The sequence below is a fragment of the Homo sapiens genome, chromosome 1 (genome assembly GCF_000001405.40).
Source record: "Homo sapiens chromosome 1, GRCh38.p14 Primary Assembly".
In the NCBI taxonomy this organism is placed as follows: domain Eukaryota; kingdom Metazoa; phylum Chordata; class Mammalia; order Primates; family Hominidae; genus Homo; species Homo sapiens.
In genome coordinates, this window is record NC_000001.11 from 200,763,876 (window position 1) to 200,780,131 (window position 16,256).

A 16,256-nucleotide genomic window follows, 5' to 3' on the forward strand; every position below is an offset into this window, starting at 1 on the left:
CCAGCCTAGCCAACATGGCGAAACCCCATCTCTACTAAAAATACAAAAATTAGCCAGGTGTGGTGGCAGGCACCTGTAACCCGAGGTCGGGAGGCTGAGGCAGGAGAATCGCTTGAACCTGGGAGGCGGAGGTTGCAGTGAGCCGAGATTGCGCCACTGCACTCCAGCCCAGGTGACAAGAGCAAGACTCCGTCTCAAAAAAAAAGAAAGAAACTATTTTTTTAAAGAGTAAAGTAAGAGTTAATGTAAATTAACAGTTTTTTTTTCCTGCTTTTTGGGAAGTATCATGAAAAATAGTGTGTTTAATTGCACTGAATATATTGCCCCCCACTTCCACTTCTAAATTATTTTTAATTTGGGATATTTTATTTCTGTATGCCAGCCTTTTGGGGGGAAAAAAAGTGTGGTGGTAGCAAAAGTATCATCCTAATTTTTCAAGAAATAATGTTAGTACTAATTCTTTTTCTTCAAAGTCTCAGTATAAAAATTTCCTGTGAAATAATATATATGAAGACAGAAATCTTTAGAAGAATTTACACCAGACTGTTAACTTTGGTTTCTTCTGTGAAATGGGATTAAATAGGATTGGAGAAATAAATGGTAACTTTCATATCTTATTTGATGTATTTCTGCACTATTAACATTTTTATATGATTTTACTGTTTTAAAATTTAAAATGTAGAGAAGAAATTTAAATTCAAATAGAAATTATCATTATCTGAAATAACATGCCTTGTATGCATACTAAATATTTCTGATAGTTAAATTGTTAAAGAGAAATAAGTATCCTGCATTTAGCCTTTAAGCAGACATAGGAAATAAGAATAAATATTGAAGACCTCTCTAAATGGTTAAATTCCAAATATCCCGTAAATGGCAATTCAAACCTTTAAGATATCTTTTCTGTAGTTCCTTTTAGTAATCAATCTTTAAAAAGAAAAGATGTGGCTGGGCTCAGTGGCACATACCTGTAATCCCAGCACTTTGGGAGGCCAAGGCGGGTGGTTCACCTGAGGTGAGGAGTTTGAGACCAGCCTGGCCAACATAGTGAAACCCCATCTCTACTAAAAATACAGAAATTAGCTGGGCGTGATGGCAGGCACCTGTAATCCCAGCTACATGGGAGGTTGAGGCAGGAGAATCACTTGAAACCGGGAGAAGGAGATTGCAGTCAGCCAAGATTGCACCATTGCACTCTGGTCTGGGCAACAGAGTGAGATTCCATCTCAAAAAAAACAAAAAAACAAAAAAACTCAACGTAACTTCTCAAAACAAAAACATTTCTCTCAATCTCCACCCCAAAATTAATACTACAATCTGCTTATCAGTCAAACTTGCCTTAGTCATACTTCTTTATTTATTTATTTTTTCGAGACTGAATTTTGCTCTTGTCACCCAAGCTGGAGTGCAGTGACACAATTTCAGCTCATTGCAACCTCCACCTCCCAAGTTCAAGCAATTCTCCTGCCTCAGCCTCCCGAGTAGCTGGGTAAATTACAGGTGCGCCACCATGCCCAGCTAATTTTTGTATTTTTAGTAGAGATGGGGTTTCACCATGTTGGCCAGGCTGGTCTCGAGCTCCTGACCTTGTGATCCACTCACCTCGGCCTCCCAAAGTGCTGGGATTACAGGTGTGAGCCACCGCACCCGGCCATATGTTATGTTCTATGTATCCAGCTGACCACTGACATCTCCGCTTGAATGATGTTTGAACTAAAAATCTAATGAGGAAGAAAACTGGGAAAAAAAACTAGACAGTATGAAATAAGTGTTCTAACTTTAAGCAATAGATACTGAGATCTTAGAGGTGGATGTGATCATCTCTATTAGGGAGGATCAGGGAAGGCATCACAGGGTAGAATGATAAATGGGATTTCAGTAGTTGGGAAAAGGGATGGGATGAGAGTAGTAACTGGGTTGAAGGAATTGTTTGACTCAAGATTGAACTGTGAAGGTATGTTAAGTATTATAAATTAAAATATTGACTGCATGGAGGGATAAATGTCAGATGAGGCTAAAAAATAATTTAGAGCTAGATCATGAAGAGTCTGTAAGTTAGATAATGAGGAGGCTGTAAGTCTGAGTTAAGGATTTTTAACTTTCTGTGGGTTACAGAATCATGGAATAGATTTTCATACTATATTACAAAACACTTGGAAGCATTGCAAACTGAACCGCTATACTGTCAGCTTAGTTTAAATAATTATTGCAGTCTGTTAATTCTCAGATTTTATCTATTGTTTATTTATGAGACTATCAAGTAGCTCTTTTTTTTTTTTTTTTCCTGAGACAGGATCTCACTCTGTTGCCCAGGCTGGAGTGCAGTGGCGCAATCACAACTCACTGTAGCCTCGACCTGCAGGGCTCAGGTGACCCTCCCACCTCAGCCTCCTGGGTAGCTGGGTCTGCAGACGTGCACCACCCCACCTGGCTAATATTTTTTTATTATTTTTTTTGTAGAGACAGGGTCTCCCTATGTTGCCCAGGCTGATCTCAAACTCCTGGGCTATGCTGGGATTACAGGTGTGAGCTGGGATTACACCTGGTCTATCAGGTAGCTCTTTTCATTTAGTTTACTGTGTGCCATGCAGTGTGCTTACACTTTAACACTCTATCTTACGTAATTTAATTCTTACAACAACTCCAAGAGGAAAGGATCATCCCTTTTCTATTGATGAAGAAACTGAGGCTTTGAGAATATAAGGTCACAGAGCAAGTATAGTTAAGTAGTGAAGGCAGGATTCTGAACATCTCTGCTTTAACTATAAATCCTATATTCTTTTTCGGTTTTTTTTCTTATTTTACTTCTCTTTTACATGATAACAGGATAAATCCTATGTTCTTAACCACTAAATTGTATTTTCGTCTTTGCCTAGGGAATAGGTAGATGGGAAGTAGTAAGGTGGAAGGAAATAGAAATGGTGTGCCACCTGGAACTCTGCCTGGTGGTTTGTTTGAAATCTTGGTAATTTGCCTAGGTTTCTTTCCAAAGTAATTTCCCCTCTCTGTTCCATTTACCCACTCTGTTCCTGTATTAAAGGTTATGTTAATTCCATGTACCTTAGGAGTAATTATAGCAGTTAAGTAGAATGACTGCTGACAGGGGATGAAGTAGAGTTGTGACAGAGTCTAGGTGGACATGAGTTAATTGATACAGTATTTAAGAATATGCAGGCAGGGCGTGGTGGCTCACACCTGTAATTCCAGCACTTTGGGAGGCCAAGGCAGGTGGATCACCTGAGGTCAGGAGTTCGAGACCAGCCTGGCCAACATGGTGAAACCCCATCTCTACTAAAAATACAAAAAAAAATTAGCTGGGCATGGTGGCGCACTCCTGTAATATCAGCTACTTGGCACATGCCTGTAATACCAGCTACTTGGGAGGCTGAGGTGAGAGAATCGCTTGAACCTGGGAGGCAGAGGTTGCAGTGAGCTGAGATTGCGCCACTGCACTCCAGCCTGGGCAACAGAGTGAGACTCCATCTCAAAAAAAAAAAAAAAAGAATATGCTGAATAATTCTCTAGTTACCATTATTTTTGCTGGATACACAAAATGTATTGAGAACAGAGAAGCTGATCCCAGGAACTTTGTGTTGTCCCTCTTTTTTTTTTTTTTTTTTAAACATATTGGTCTTATTTGGCAACTATGCTTAGGAATTTCCATTGTGTCACCATCTGTTGGAACTCAAGTGTAATTTACTTGTGTAGAGGCTTGTTAAAAAAAATCCTTTCCCTGTTTAAGAACAGGATTATATAAATGTAGTATTGTAATAGTAGGTGAGAAGACATTAATTTCTGGTCACCCTTGTATATGAGTGGCTTGCAAATTTATAAGCCAAACCTGTCTTTGAAAAATTAATTACATTCTCATAGATGTTGTTGAACAGGGTTTTCTTCTTCATGCACAGTGCTAGAACTCAATTTTCTGTTTACTACTCATGTACCTAATAATGTTCCATTATTTCTAGGTAACATCTATACCTCTGTTACAAATTCACAATATCTTTTGATACCTTACAACCATGTTTATCATGTTAGAGTAACTCTTTATTTGTGATCATTTATTTGGAGCTCCAAGTTTACTTTCTCATAGAAATAACTTGATGAATGGTACTTACTTTACTAGGTGATCTCACAAAGACTCTTTTTAATAAAACTGAATTGTCAGACCATTTATTAATTTATTTAAGGAGCTTCTGCATTGTCCTTTGTATTTTCTACCATGATTACAAAGAGTTTCATGTTCTTCAGTGTCTCACTTTCTAGCGGTGGCTTATAGAAAACTGTCCAATGTTTTAGGAGTGTAAAGGCACCAAACTCTGTACTACACTTCAACTGAGTTTTGAAGGATGCGGAGGAATTTACCACATAGAGAAATGAAGGCTGTGTTGTACGGTATTGTATTTGGGAGTATAATGGGATGTTAAAAGGGAGTGTGAGAGCATGGTGACCCTCAGGTCAAAGGAAGCAGCTTAGTTGTGGCGTTAGCACTAGCTGCCTTTTGAGGGGTGATAAGAAACGAGATCACAGAGTTAGATAGGGTTAGGGCATGAATGATGTTTTGTGCTATGCCAAGTGTTTACGTTATCCTGGAAGTGATGGGAACCCTAGTGTAGGGTTTTAAGCCAGAGAGGGTATCATCAGATTTGTGTTTCAGAAAGTCACTGTGGTGTATTGTAGAAGAGATACCACTTAGGAGGCTGTTGAAATAGCTGGAGGCCTGAACTAAGGTGCAGGCCATGAAGATTTATTAGTAGGGTTGAGTGGGAGAGACTTTTTTTTTGTTGTTGTTGTTTTGAGATGGAGTCTTGCTCTGTCACCAGGCTGGAGTGCAGTGGCGCGATCTCGGCTCACTGCAACCTCCATCTCCCAGGTTCAAGCGATTCTCCTGCCTCAGCCTCCCAAGTAGCTGGGACTACAGGCGTGTGCCACCACGCCTGGCTAATTTTTGTATTTTTAGTAGAGACAGGGTTTCACCATGTTAGCCAGGATGGTCTCGACCTCCTGACCTCGTGATCCACCCACCCTGGCCTCTCAAAGTGCAGGGGATTACAGGCATGAGCCACTGTGCCTGGCTGGAGAGACCTCGTTAAGGTAGGATTGAGATGATACCTTGATTTATCAAGAATTGGGAGATTAGGAAGAGAAACCAGAACAGGGCTGGCAAAAAATATTTTATCCCTTATGTCAACTCTAATTAATTAATTAGTAGTTAACTACTGGAAGGTGGGAAAAACTAGCTCCTTGGTTTTCACTCTGTTCCTTTGAGAGCCTCGGGGTCTAGATGTTCCCTTCCCCATCCTTTGTTCCTCCTAGTGCTTTTGAACTCTTGTATTTTTTACCTAATAGTGGTAAATGACAAAAACAAGTAAAGGAACAGCTTTATAAGTTTGAAGTCTTGAGCTGATATTGCTAAACTTACTATTTTTGATGAGAAAGATAAAGGCTGTTCTGTAAGACTCATACTAAGTTTCTCTTTTCTTCTTAGAAAAAGAGTTGAAAAGAGTTTTTCCCAACACACCAAGCAACGGACACCAGTGGGGTGTCCTCTAATTCAGTTCCAACATTATCTACCTGGAGATAGTATCAGATCAGTGTCAGATCCCACAGGTTGAGGGCTTAGTCCCCAAGACTACCCCACCACCACACCAGTCACAAGTCCAGGCCTCCGGTACTTCTCACTGACCGGCTTCAAGTTGGGGTTCCCATGACCCCCTCTTTGGGTTCAGTTAATTTGCTGGAGCAACTCACAGAACTCAGGGAAACTCTTACTTACATTTACTGGTTTATTATAAGGGATATTGCAAAGGATACAAATGAAGACACGTTTAGGGCAAGGTATGGGAGAAAGGGTGCACCACCCTCCAGGAACCTCACTGTGCTTAGCTGTCCAGAAGCTCCCTGAATCCTCTTCTCAGTTTTTTGAAGCTTTATAATCTTGGCATCCCTTTTCCCAGGGTATAGGGTGGGACTGTCTCATAGAGGGTCTTAAGACCCACAGTCAGAAAGGCAGGAGAAGATTAGATTCCTGCCTTGGGGCAGGTGAAAGGAGGGCAGGAGATTCTGTTTCCTGAGGCCTAACACACCCAAGATTATAATGAAAGACTATAACAAGGGCTTTAGAAGTTATGAACCAGGAACTGTAGATGGAAAGCAATATATATCATAACACCACAGTGATCAAGTAGATAGATGATTCTCCCCTATCATGTCTTGGAAGATGTGAGGTGTGGGATTAAAAAAGTGAGTGTGGAAACGGGATAGGACCGAAGGTACAGAATTGTAGGGATGACATGAGGGATGAGGAAAATTGAGTACACTTTACAAATATTATGAATGTAATGTATGATATAGGTGGTGCCCTATTGATGAGGAAATTGATCTATAACTGACTCCAAAAGGTGAGTTAACTTGCCCAAAGTCAAACAGGTAATAAACGATAATGTTAGGATTTAAACTTGCATCTGCTGATTCCAAAGCCCATGCTTATTCTGTTTACACCATGAGGCCTTCCCAAACCAAAACAAAATGTCCCCCTACTATTTCTTTTTTTTTTTTTTGAGACGGAGTCTCTGTCTCCCAAGCTGGAGTGCAGTGGCGCCATCTTGGCTCACTGCAAGCTCTGCCTCCTGGGTTCATGCCATTCTCTTGCCTCAGTCTCCTGAATAGCTGGGACTACAGGTGCCCGCCACCACACCCAGCTAATTTTTTTGTATTTTTAGTAGAGATGGTGTTTCATTGTGTTAGCCAGGATGGTCTCAGTCTCCTGACCTTGTGATCCACCCACCTCGGCCTCCCAAAGTGCTGGGATTACAGGCGTGAGCCACCGCACCTGGCCTACTATTTCTATAGTACTTAATAGTTTGTAAAACATGTATACGTTATTATTATTATTTTCTGATAATAACCAGAGAAGGCAAATAGGGCAGTTATTACCATCTCTTTTTTCACAAGTAAGGAAACTTTACGGATGGGTTTATTTAGTAGATACTCGGTTCTTAGTGGAAAGAGGTGTAGAAAGAAAAAATGCATAGATCATGATCACATGGCTAGGCTAGTTAGTAACAGAGCAGAGATAGATCCCAATCTTCTTACTTCTAACCCAGTGCTTATTCTACAAATGCATCCTGCAGCCATCCTTTTTCCTGTCCTTGTGGATTATACCATGTATTGATTCCGGAAAGACTAACAGAGAATATGAGCATGGAGTAGGATGTCAAACACTGAGAGGCGATAGCAAAGAAGGGGAGAGGGGAACAGGGCAGGAATCCCAAGAATAGGAATAGAAGGGAGAAAAGGGGATTGTTTTGCTCACCTGACTAAAGCATTATTTTCTCATATAAGAGATATATCTTGTTTAGTGACCACCGACAGGAAGATTTAGATCTACAAAAATAATTTACTTTGCAAAGTAATTTTTTATTTAAAAAATGTTTAGAATTAATTTTACATTGTTTTAGAAAAATAGAACTTGAAGTAACAAGTTTTCAAGAACACATGTGAAATGAAAAATACCATATTCATTATAATGTTTAATATAATGTTGATTATATTAAAAATTATCTCGTTCTTAAGTAAAATATACATTCTCCTTTACTGATAACATATTTTATATTTTTTATATTGTACCACATATCATGCCTGGTACATAAGGGCTTGATAAACAAAGTGTTAATTTCTGGTCATAAAGAGATATTTTAGACAAATTGGGGAGGTGGATAATTCCTTATTTTTCCAGAGACCATGTCTATGCCTCTCACTTTGCTTTTGGCCATTGCTGATTGATCTCAGGATTAAGAAATCAGATGTAAGATGGGCTGACTAGATTGTTTTCTGGAAAACTGGAAACCCAAAGGGAGGGAGAATGACTGTACAGTGATGGAAGGTGGTTGGAACCACCCTGTCTTATAGAAGCAGTGCCCTAGGGAGAAATCTGTGAGCTCCTGCTGCTGAAATACCGGTGCTGCTCAATTTCCATGCTTTCTGAGCTTAGTGTTTTGGCTCTTCCTTAGATTCTGTGAACTACTTTAGTGTTCCCTCAGTAAATTACAGCTAATTTAACAGGGTTAGATTCTGTTGCCTGCCATTAAAAGAACTGTAGCTAAACAATAAATAAATAAAAAGCCACCCATTGACCATTTTTACTCACTTGAGGACAGATTTCATTACAGAAGTATAGTTTTAGAGCTGAAAGAGATCCTAGCAATCATCTGGTCTCGAGTTTTGAAATTCTCTTAACTATGACTCACAGTTAGGAATGCATTTTACTTCAAGATACCCACCTGGTTTACCTAGTTACACATGTATTACAGAAACAAAAGTACTTATCCTTGTAACTTTATTTTTTTAAGATTCTATTTGAAAAAAAAATATGGGTTGTGACCAACTAAATTGACTTTATGCATGACCCATGAATGGGTTATAAACCCACATTTAAAAAATACTAATGTAGGCTGGGCACAGTGACTCACACCTATAATCCCAGCACTTTGGGAGGCTGAGATGGGTGGATCACTTGAGGCCAAGAGTTTGAGACCAGCCTGGACAACATGGCGAAACCCCGTCTTTACTAAACATACAAAAACTAGCCAAGTGTGGTGGCATACGCCTGTAATCCCAGCTACTTGGGAGGCTGAGGCATGGGAATTGCTTGAACCCAGGAGGCAGAGGTTGCAGTGAGCCAAGGTCATGCCACTGCACTCCAGCCTGTGCGACAGAGGGAGACTATGTCTCAAAAAAATAAATAAAAATAAATAAATTAATTAAAAATACAAATGTAGTTAAATTGCTTTATCTTATAGAGAAGAGTGGTAAAATGACAGTGTTACTAGAAACTAAATACCATACCCATGTTTTTCTTTAAAAATGTATTTTCATTTTCAAATTACCAATAGCATCTATTTGTTTGAAAAGAGCTATGGAAATAATTTGTTGTACATACTCTTACTTCCTTGAAGTTTGTCTAATCTCTATGGTATACTGCTGCCAGATTAATTTTCCTGAAATATCACTTTGATATCTAGCTTATTTCCTAATTCAAAACTTTTAATTATTTTATTTGACTTAAAATGCCATATATATTTTGGTTTCAGATGTATGTCCTTTTAAATTTGTCAGATTTTCAGAGCTAGCAACTGTAAGTATGAGGGAAGAAGTTGCTGCAAACTTTGTCCATAAATTAGATAATTCACTTTTGAATAGTGGAAGTTTTATATTCCTTTGTTTGTAATCTTATGTACATAAGAGACAATTCAAAGTAACAAAAGCTAAGATACTTAAGGAGTTGTCTGATATTACAGACCTGCCAGCAATAATTTTTATGAATATAGAAGATGAATTAAGCATATATTAACCATGACTTTTCATTTTTTATTTTTATTTATTTATTTATTTATTTTGAGACAGTCTCCCTCTGTTGCCCAGGCTGGAGTGCAGTGGTGTGATCTCGGCTTACTGCAACCTCTGCCTCCCAGGTTCAGGTGATTCTCTTGCCTCACCCTCCCAAGTAGCTGGGACTACAAGTGCACACCACCATGCCTGGCTAGTTTTTTTTGTATTTTTAGTAGAGACGGCGTTTCGCCATGTTAGCCAGGCTGGTCTCGAACTCCTGACCTCACATGATCCGCCTGCCTCAGCCTCCCAAAGTGCTGGGACTACAGGTGTGAGCTACCATGTCCGGCCTCATCTTTTAAAAAGATAAAAAGATTTCTATGCATTCACTGCAGATTAATAAATTTAAATAGATGGTATATTGTAAGTTAGCGTCAGTGTCTGGGACCTGGCCTATTGTGGAGTAATAATGTTCTCCTAGTTTAAATATCTAAAAAACTAATAGTAGACACACACATATAAATAATTGGAGTGGCTTGGTGCGGTGGCTCAGGCCTGTAATCTCAGTACTTTGGGAGACTGAGGTGGGCGGATTGCTGGAGCTCAGGAAGTCAAGGCTACAGTGAGCCATGATTGTGCCACTGCACTTCAGCCTGGGCAACAGAGCAAGACTCTGTCTCAAAAAATAAAATAAAATAAAATAAAATAAAATAAAATAAAATAAAATAAAATAAAATAAAATAAAATAAATTATTGGAGCACAAGGTTGAGATGTTTTAGTAGGTTTGGTATTAAAACTACATATTTTTCTGATTTGCAGAATACAGTATAGTGCTATAGAACAGTGGACAGTCATGGCAGTTGTCTGTGGCCATCCATACCCCAGTGTGTGTTGAGCAGATTGATGCTCCAACACTGCCATGATATGGAACCATTTTTGCAATTTGTTAGGTTATAGCAGTGAAGCAGATTGTTTTTAATTAATGTCAGTGATGTGATTTAGTGGAATAAAATAGGTGGTCATTAAAACAAAAACTTTAGTAACTGTTATTTTGTTGCTTGCTTGTTTTCCGGTAACTGCATAAATGAGCTTCTGTAATAGAAAAAAAAAAAATCTTTACAATGCTCAGATTCCTTCTCAGCCTGTACTGTTCCATGTTTGAAACAGTGTTAGAATGAGCTGTGTTACAAAGTGCACTATGTTAGAAGCTGTCCCAGGGGCCCGTCTTTTCAGGAAGTTCTTTTGCTATACTTGGAGGATTGTGAGAATACTGATTATTGTTTTCCTGAAGCTAAAACTGTTAGTTTGTGGTTAGCAAACAAGTAAACAAATATTAAAAACGTAACTAGAGAGTGGTGAAAGCTGTGAAGAAAGTAAAAGCAGGATAATACAAGTGATCTGAAGGAATCATGTGTTATTATAGTTAGAGTGGCTAGGAGCAGTCTTATACAGGAGATTATATTTGAGCAGAGATTTGAAAGATGAGGAGCCATTTAGGCAAAGATCAGAGGCTATCGCATTGCCGACAGAGGGAATAAATACGAAGACCCTGAGTTAGTATATAATTCACAAAATAAATAAACTTCATGGCTGGATGATAAAGGTCCTACTAAGAATTTCCTGGAGGGAACATCTTCAGGAATTTGAAAGTGTAGAGTCACATTTATTTACCATATAATATGTGTGATAGGAAGTACTTGACTCATTCAATAAGTACTTTTTGGTTACGGGATGTAGTAATGAGAAGACAGACCAAGCCCCTGCTTTCATGGAGCTACTATTTTAGTAGTAAAGTTGACCAGTAAACAATTAGACAAATTGTAACAATTGCAGGAAATGGTAAATGCTGTGAAAAAAATAAATTAGTAAGGAGCTACAAGGAGTGGAACAGGCTCTTTTCATAGGAGGCTTTCAGGGAAGGCCTGTCAACTGAGTTGATATTTGAACTGAGACCTAAATACCTGAAGGAACTGGCAGATGATCTGGAAAAAGAACATTCCAGGCAAAAGAAATAGTAAGCTTACTGGCTCTGATGTAAGAGGAGTTTGGTATGTTTCAGGAACTGAAAGAAGGCCACTGATTTTGGTAGTGAGCAAGATTGATATGGAGAGTGATAAGAGATCTGGTTGAGAAAAAGATTGTAGCCAAAGCAAGTGAAGCTCTATAAGCCAGATTTTATTGTGAATGTGCAAGGATGTCTCTGGAGGATTTTAAGGAGGACAATGAGTTGATCTGGTTTATTTTTTTTTCAGAATCATTAAATGCCATAATAATAATTTTGGTAAAATAGAAAAGCTTCCTTTTTCATGAATATCCGAGGCTTTTTTGTTGTTTGTTTTTTGAGATGGAGTCTCACTCTGTTGCCCAGGCTGGAGTGCAGTGGCGCAATCTCAGCTCACTGCAACCTCTGCCTTCCAGGTTCAAGCAGTTTTCCTGCCTCAGTCTCCCAAGTAGCTGGGACTACAGGCACACGCCACCACACCTGGCCAATTTTTGGATTTTTAGTAGAGATGAGGTTTCACCATGTTGACCCAGGCTGGTCTCGAACTCCTGACCTCAGGTGATCCACCCCCCTCGGCCTCCCAAAGTGCTGGGATTATGGGCATGAGCCACTGTGCCTGGCCAGAATGTTTGTATTTTAATGTAGTAACATTATAGTAAAACAAAATAATTTGGGAAAAGACTTGATGGCAAGTATATAACTTTAGTAAGTACAGAGTGCTATGCCAATATAAAATCACTGTTTCATCAAGGCAAAAGCTTTCAAGGATCTTTAAAAACAAAAAAAAAAAGAAAAGAAAAATCACTGTTTCTTGCATGGTGAAGTAGGGAGTCAACATGAGTAATAATCAGATAAGAACTTTCAGAAGCTTCTTTTTTATACCAAAACATTTTGCCAATCTTATTATTTTTTTAAAAATTTGTTTTTGGTGTTGAAAATGCATAGCTTTAGATGTTGTAATCATAGTATTTGGTCAGGGAGCTTGGAAACATTTTAATTGTTCTTCCATCCAGCCTTCAGGTTGCTTTGTGGAGAAATACTTGAGAGAACTAGGCACAGAAAAGGCAAAGCAAGACCAAGAAAACATTTTAGCATTAGCTCAGGTTAGGTTCCAACCCCTGATGCAGAAATCTGGTAGGTGAAACTGGACCAAGTAAAAGGGCTGTTTTTGTCCTGAGCCAGATTGGCCTAGAACCAAGTGTAGTCATAAATGTCCTTTATTTTCCTACGACAACCAAACATGGAACTCATTCTTCCAAAAATAGGGTCAATGTTCATCCTGCCTGTTTTAGAGGAAGAAGAACTTGAGGGTAAGAGAGAGAGAGAAACCTGGGCAGGCTTGTGCACAGGAAGGGCAGGAAAGAGAGTTGACTGGGTGTGTTGTTGGGTGCCTGTAATCCCAGTACTTGGGAGACGGAGGCAGGAGAACCACTTGAACCTGGGAGGTGGAGGTTGCAGTGAGCCGAGATTGTGCCACTGCACTCCAGCCTGGGCAACAGAGTGAGACTCCGTCTTAAAAAAACAAAACAAAACAACAACAACAAAAAACCCAGACATTCATGAAAAAGGAAGCTTTTTATTTTACCAAAATTATTATTATGGCATTTAATGCTTCTGAAAAAAAGTAAACCATTGGTGGAAGACTTGGGAGAAGAGTGAGAGAAAAGGAGGAAGGAGAGACAATGAGAAAGGAAGGAAAAGAAGGAGCTGGAATGGGGAGGAGACAGTTTCCAGACAGGTGCTTGCCTCAAGGCCCCTTATGTGGAAAATCTTCAAAGGAGAGAGAAGGACAAAACACCTTTCTCAGAGCTCCTCTTAATACCTTATTTAATAATCATAAGGAAGAGAGAATGAGAGAAGGATGACCAACCTTTCTCCTGAGGGAGTAGGTCCTGGGCTCATCAACACTGCAGCCATATGGGAAGAGGCAAAGAAAAGGCCATGACTCAGTGCTGACCTTTGACTCCTTTGAATATACTAACCTACAAAATGTGGGGCCCAGTCTGTGTTTTGGAGTCATTTATTCTCTATCCTAGATATAGAATAAAGGGATGGGCCCCTTTATTCCTCATGGTGCTTTGAAGAGAGAAATTATTTCCTTCCCCTTGAGCCAACTTTGTAATGAAAAGGATTTAGACTTTTTCATTTTTTGTCTGTATAGTAAAGTTGCTTCAGAAAAACACAATGAGAAGAAGCATGGTAGAACATCTTGTGAATAACCTCAAAAGAAAGAATATTGCATGTATCTCTAATTGCCTTTTTTTCCTCCCTGATAAATGAGGAGAGATAAATCGTATTGAACAAAGTACTAAAAAGTGCTCAACAACACTTTTATCTCTTTAAGTTTGTCTTTTTCTAACTTCTAGGAGTCATTTTTAGGAAAGATGGATGCCTGTAGATTTCAGCTTATTTTTATATAATGGAGCCAAAGTGAAATTCTTCAAGTTCTTAATAGGAAAAAAAGGTATACTTTACAGTTGTGCCACCCAGCCAAGGCTAACATATATTCTCTATATATGCTATATGTGCATATATTCTGTAATATAATCTATATTAAAAAGTGTGATTTTGGAAATAAAAAATTAGCCGGGCATGGTGGCAAGTGCCTGTAGTCCCAGCTACTCGGGAGGCTGAGATGAGAGGATGGCTTGTGCCTGGGAGGTAAAGGCTGCAATGAGCTGTGATTATGCCACTGCACCCAGCCCAGGTTACAGAGCGAGAACCTGACTCCAGAAAAAAACTTGTGAGGCCAGGCACAGTGGCTCACACTTATAATCCCAGCACTTTGGGAGGCTAAGGCCAGAGGATCACTTGAGCTCAGGAGTTCGAGACCAGCCTGGGCAACATAGTGAGAACTTGTTAAAGTGTGCTTTTTACAGAATCAAAAAACAATTTTATATAGAATCTTTTTATACAGAATCAACTCCACAAAGAGGGGGCCATAATTGTCATCGTATTCCCAGTGCCTAGTCTAGAGAAGATGTTGAATCATTGAATAAATAAGAGGTATTAGCGAATGTTTTAATTAAGAATTAAATATATTTTTTAAGAAAAGAAAGTCATTCAGAATTATTACTAAGAGAGTGGTGGAGGTTCTTTGTTTTGTTCCTCCCCCTTGACATTTGAATAGAGTAAGCAGTAATTATTGAAATACGTATTTATTGAGTTGTGAGAATTAAGTGTTTTGGGGGAGGCTCCTGAATGCCTGGAGTTTATACGAGAATCTAACCAAGTGATTAGATGGTTTGTTTTCTGCTTTATCATTTTAATATAACAAGTACCTTTATAATTTCAAATACTCATAGGGAAAAGAGTGTTGACTTTTTGTTTCAGTTAACCAGTGATCATTTGACTTTCCTCTCTACCTTTGCTTTTTGTGTCTAGCTGTGTTGTTTAAAATTTAACAAATAATTAATCATGTTTAATATATAATACCTGCATTTTTACCAGTTTTTTTCATGAAGTGAAGCATGATTGAGATATAAATACTGTAGATCTATTTAATACCAATGATATATTTTAGAAACTAAATCCGGCTACAGTAGATTTAGGTTGTTCCTCATTTTTTTTCATTATATATTAATAGTTGGATTGTATTGATCTAGAAATCTTTTAATTATATGTTAATTTGGAATTTTATTGGGTTGGGTCCAAGCCATTTTTTTTGCAAGAGCAGATAAAATCCAAAGAATAGCTATGACCTACGGCTCTTGGCGTGGGGCCTGGCACAAGACAATGAATGAGGCCAATCAGATTCTTTGCCTCAGAGACCTGAACAAATCGTGGAAGGAATTTGCTTGTTAGCAAATTGGGAAATTAAGCAGAGTCATGAGGTAGAGTTAGGGCTGGAGGAGCTGTGAGAAACCATGGAGTTAACGCTGGGGAGGGTGCCTGGAAAAGCCTCATAACCATTTTTCCCTATTAATGAATATAGGTCTATACCATGATTTTTGAAGGCTGCACAATATTCTGTGGTATGAAAAGTACCACAATTTATTTGCCCCAATCCCTTGTTGATGAATGTGTAGGACCTCCCCACACCAAAGGGTTTTTAATCACAACAATGACACCATCAGAGTTCGATTTTTAAAAGATAGAAAAGACTATGTAACCTAGACTAAGCAAACTAGGTATATATTGTAGTGACTTTTACTGACATAGGAAAAAGAGGAGAGAAAGGAATTGGAGTGGGGGAAATGGCCATGGTAGAGTGCAGAGATAATACATTCAGTTTGGGACAGGTTTAGGATGCCTTCAGGACACCCAGGAAAAGATAACCAGGGAGATATGGGCTTGAGATAGAGATTTGGGAATCAGCTGAGAGTAGTGGTTATTGACGTCATGGAAATTGTGATGCCCAGGGAGGGCATGTTTCGAAGTGAAAAGAGAAGGTCAGAGATAGAACTGTTAGAAGACAAATATTCAACTAATGTGCAGAAAATACTGTGGAGGGTAGTCAAAGGTGTAGGATATAGAATTGAACAACTCTGGCTAACATCTGAATCTTCTTGTTCTATGAAATGCCTATTTTTTTTTCTGATTTTTTTTCCATTTTGCTGGTTGATCATGTTTTTGGTCTTATATCTCAGATTGGGAATTTTAACAATGTGTTTAATAACTATAGAATATCAGGATATGTTAAGAGTGATCTTATAGATTTTTCATAATTTTGAAATAAAAATGGAAAATTCTTTAAACTTTTTTTAAATAATGAGGCAGACAGGTTCAGAAATTATTTGGCTATTTTGACATTTTATCATTTGCAATAAATACTATGCATAGGTACCATGTGTCTATAATAAGCCTTTTCTTCTTATTAATAGAGTTTATGCCATACCATTAGTTTCCTTGTCACTAAAAGAATATAAGAATATTATTCAAGAAAGCCTGAAAACGCAAGGAAACTAGTTTTTTGTCTTTATT

General features: G+C 38.6%; 1 protein-coding gene across 7 annotated transcripts in view, besides 1 other annotated feature; it reads left to right on the forward strand.

Moving 5' to 3' along the window:
* CAMSAP2 (calmodulin regulated spectrin associated protein family member 2) overlaps positions 1 to 16,256 on the forward strand; it is a 121,812-nt gene that overhangs the window by 24,983 nt on the left and 80,573 nt on the right. The window lies entirely within an intron of this gene.
* Positions 2,942 to 3,442: an enhancer, noted in NCBI's record as "H3K4me1 hESC enhancer chr1:200735945-200736445 (GRCh37/hg19 assembly coordinates)". NCBI's record gives its function as "activates a minimal SCP1, AML or CMV promoter by ChIP-STARR-seq in primed H9 embryonic stem cells {active_cell/tissue: H9 hESC(primed)}" and the evidence as "EXISTENCE:reporter gene assay evidence [ECO:0000049][PMID:30033119]".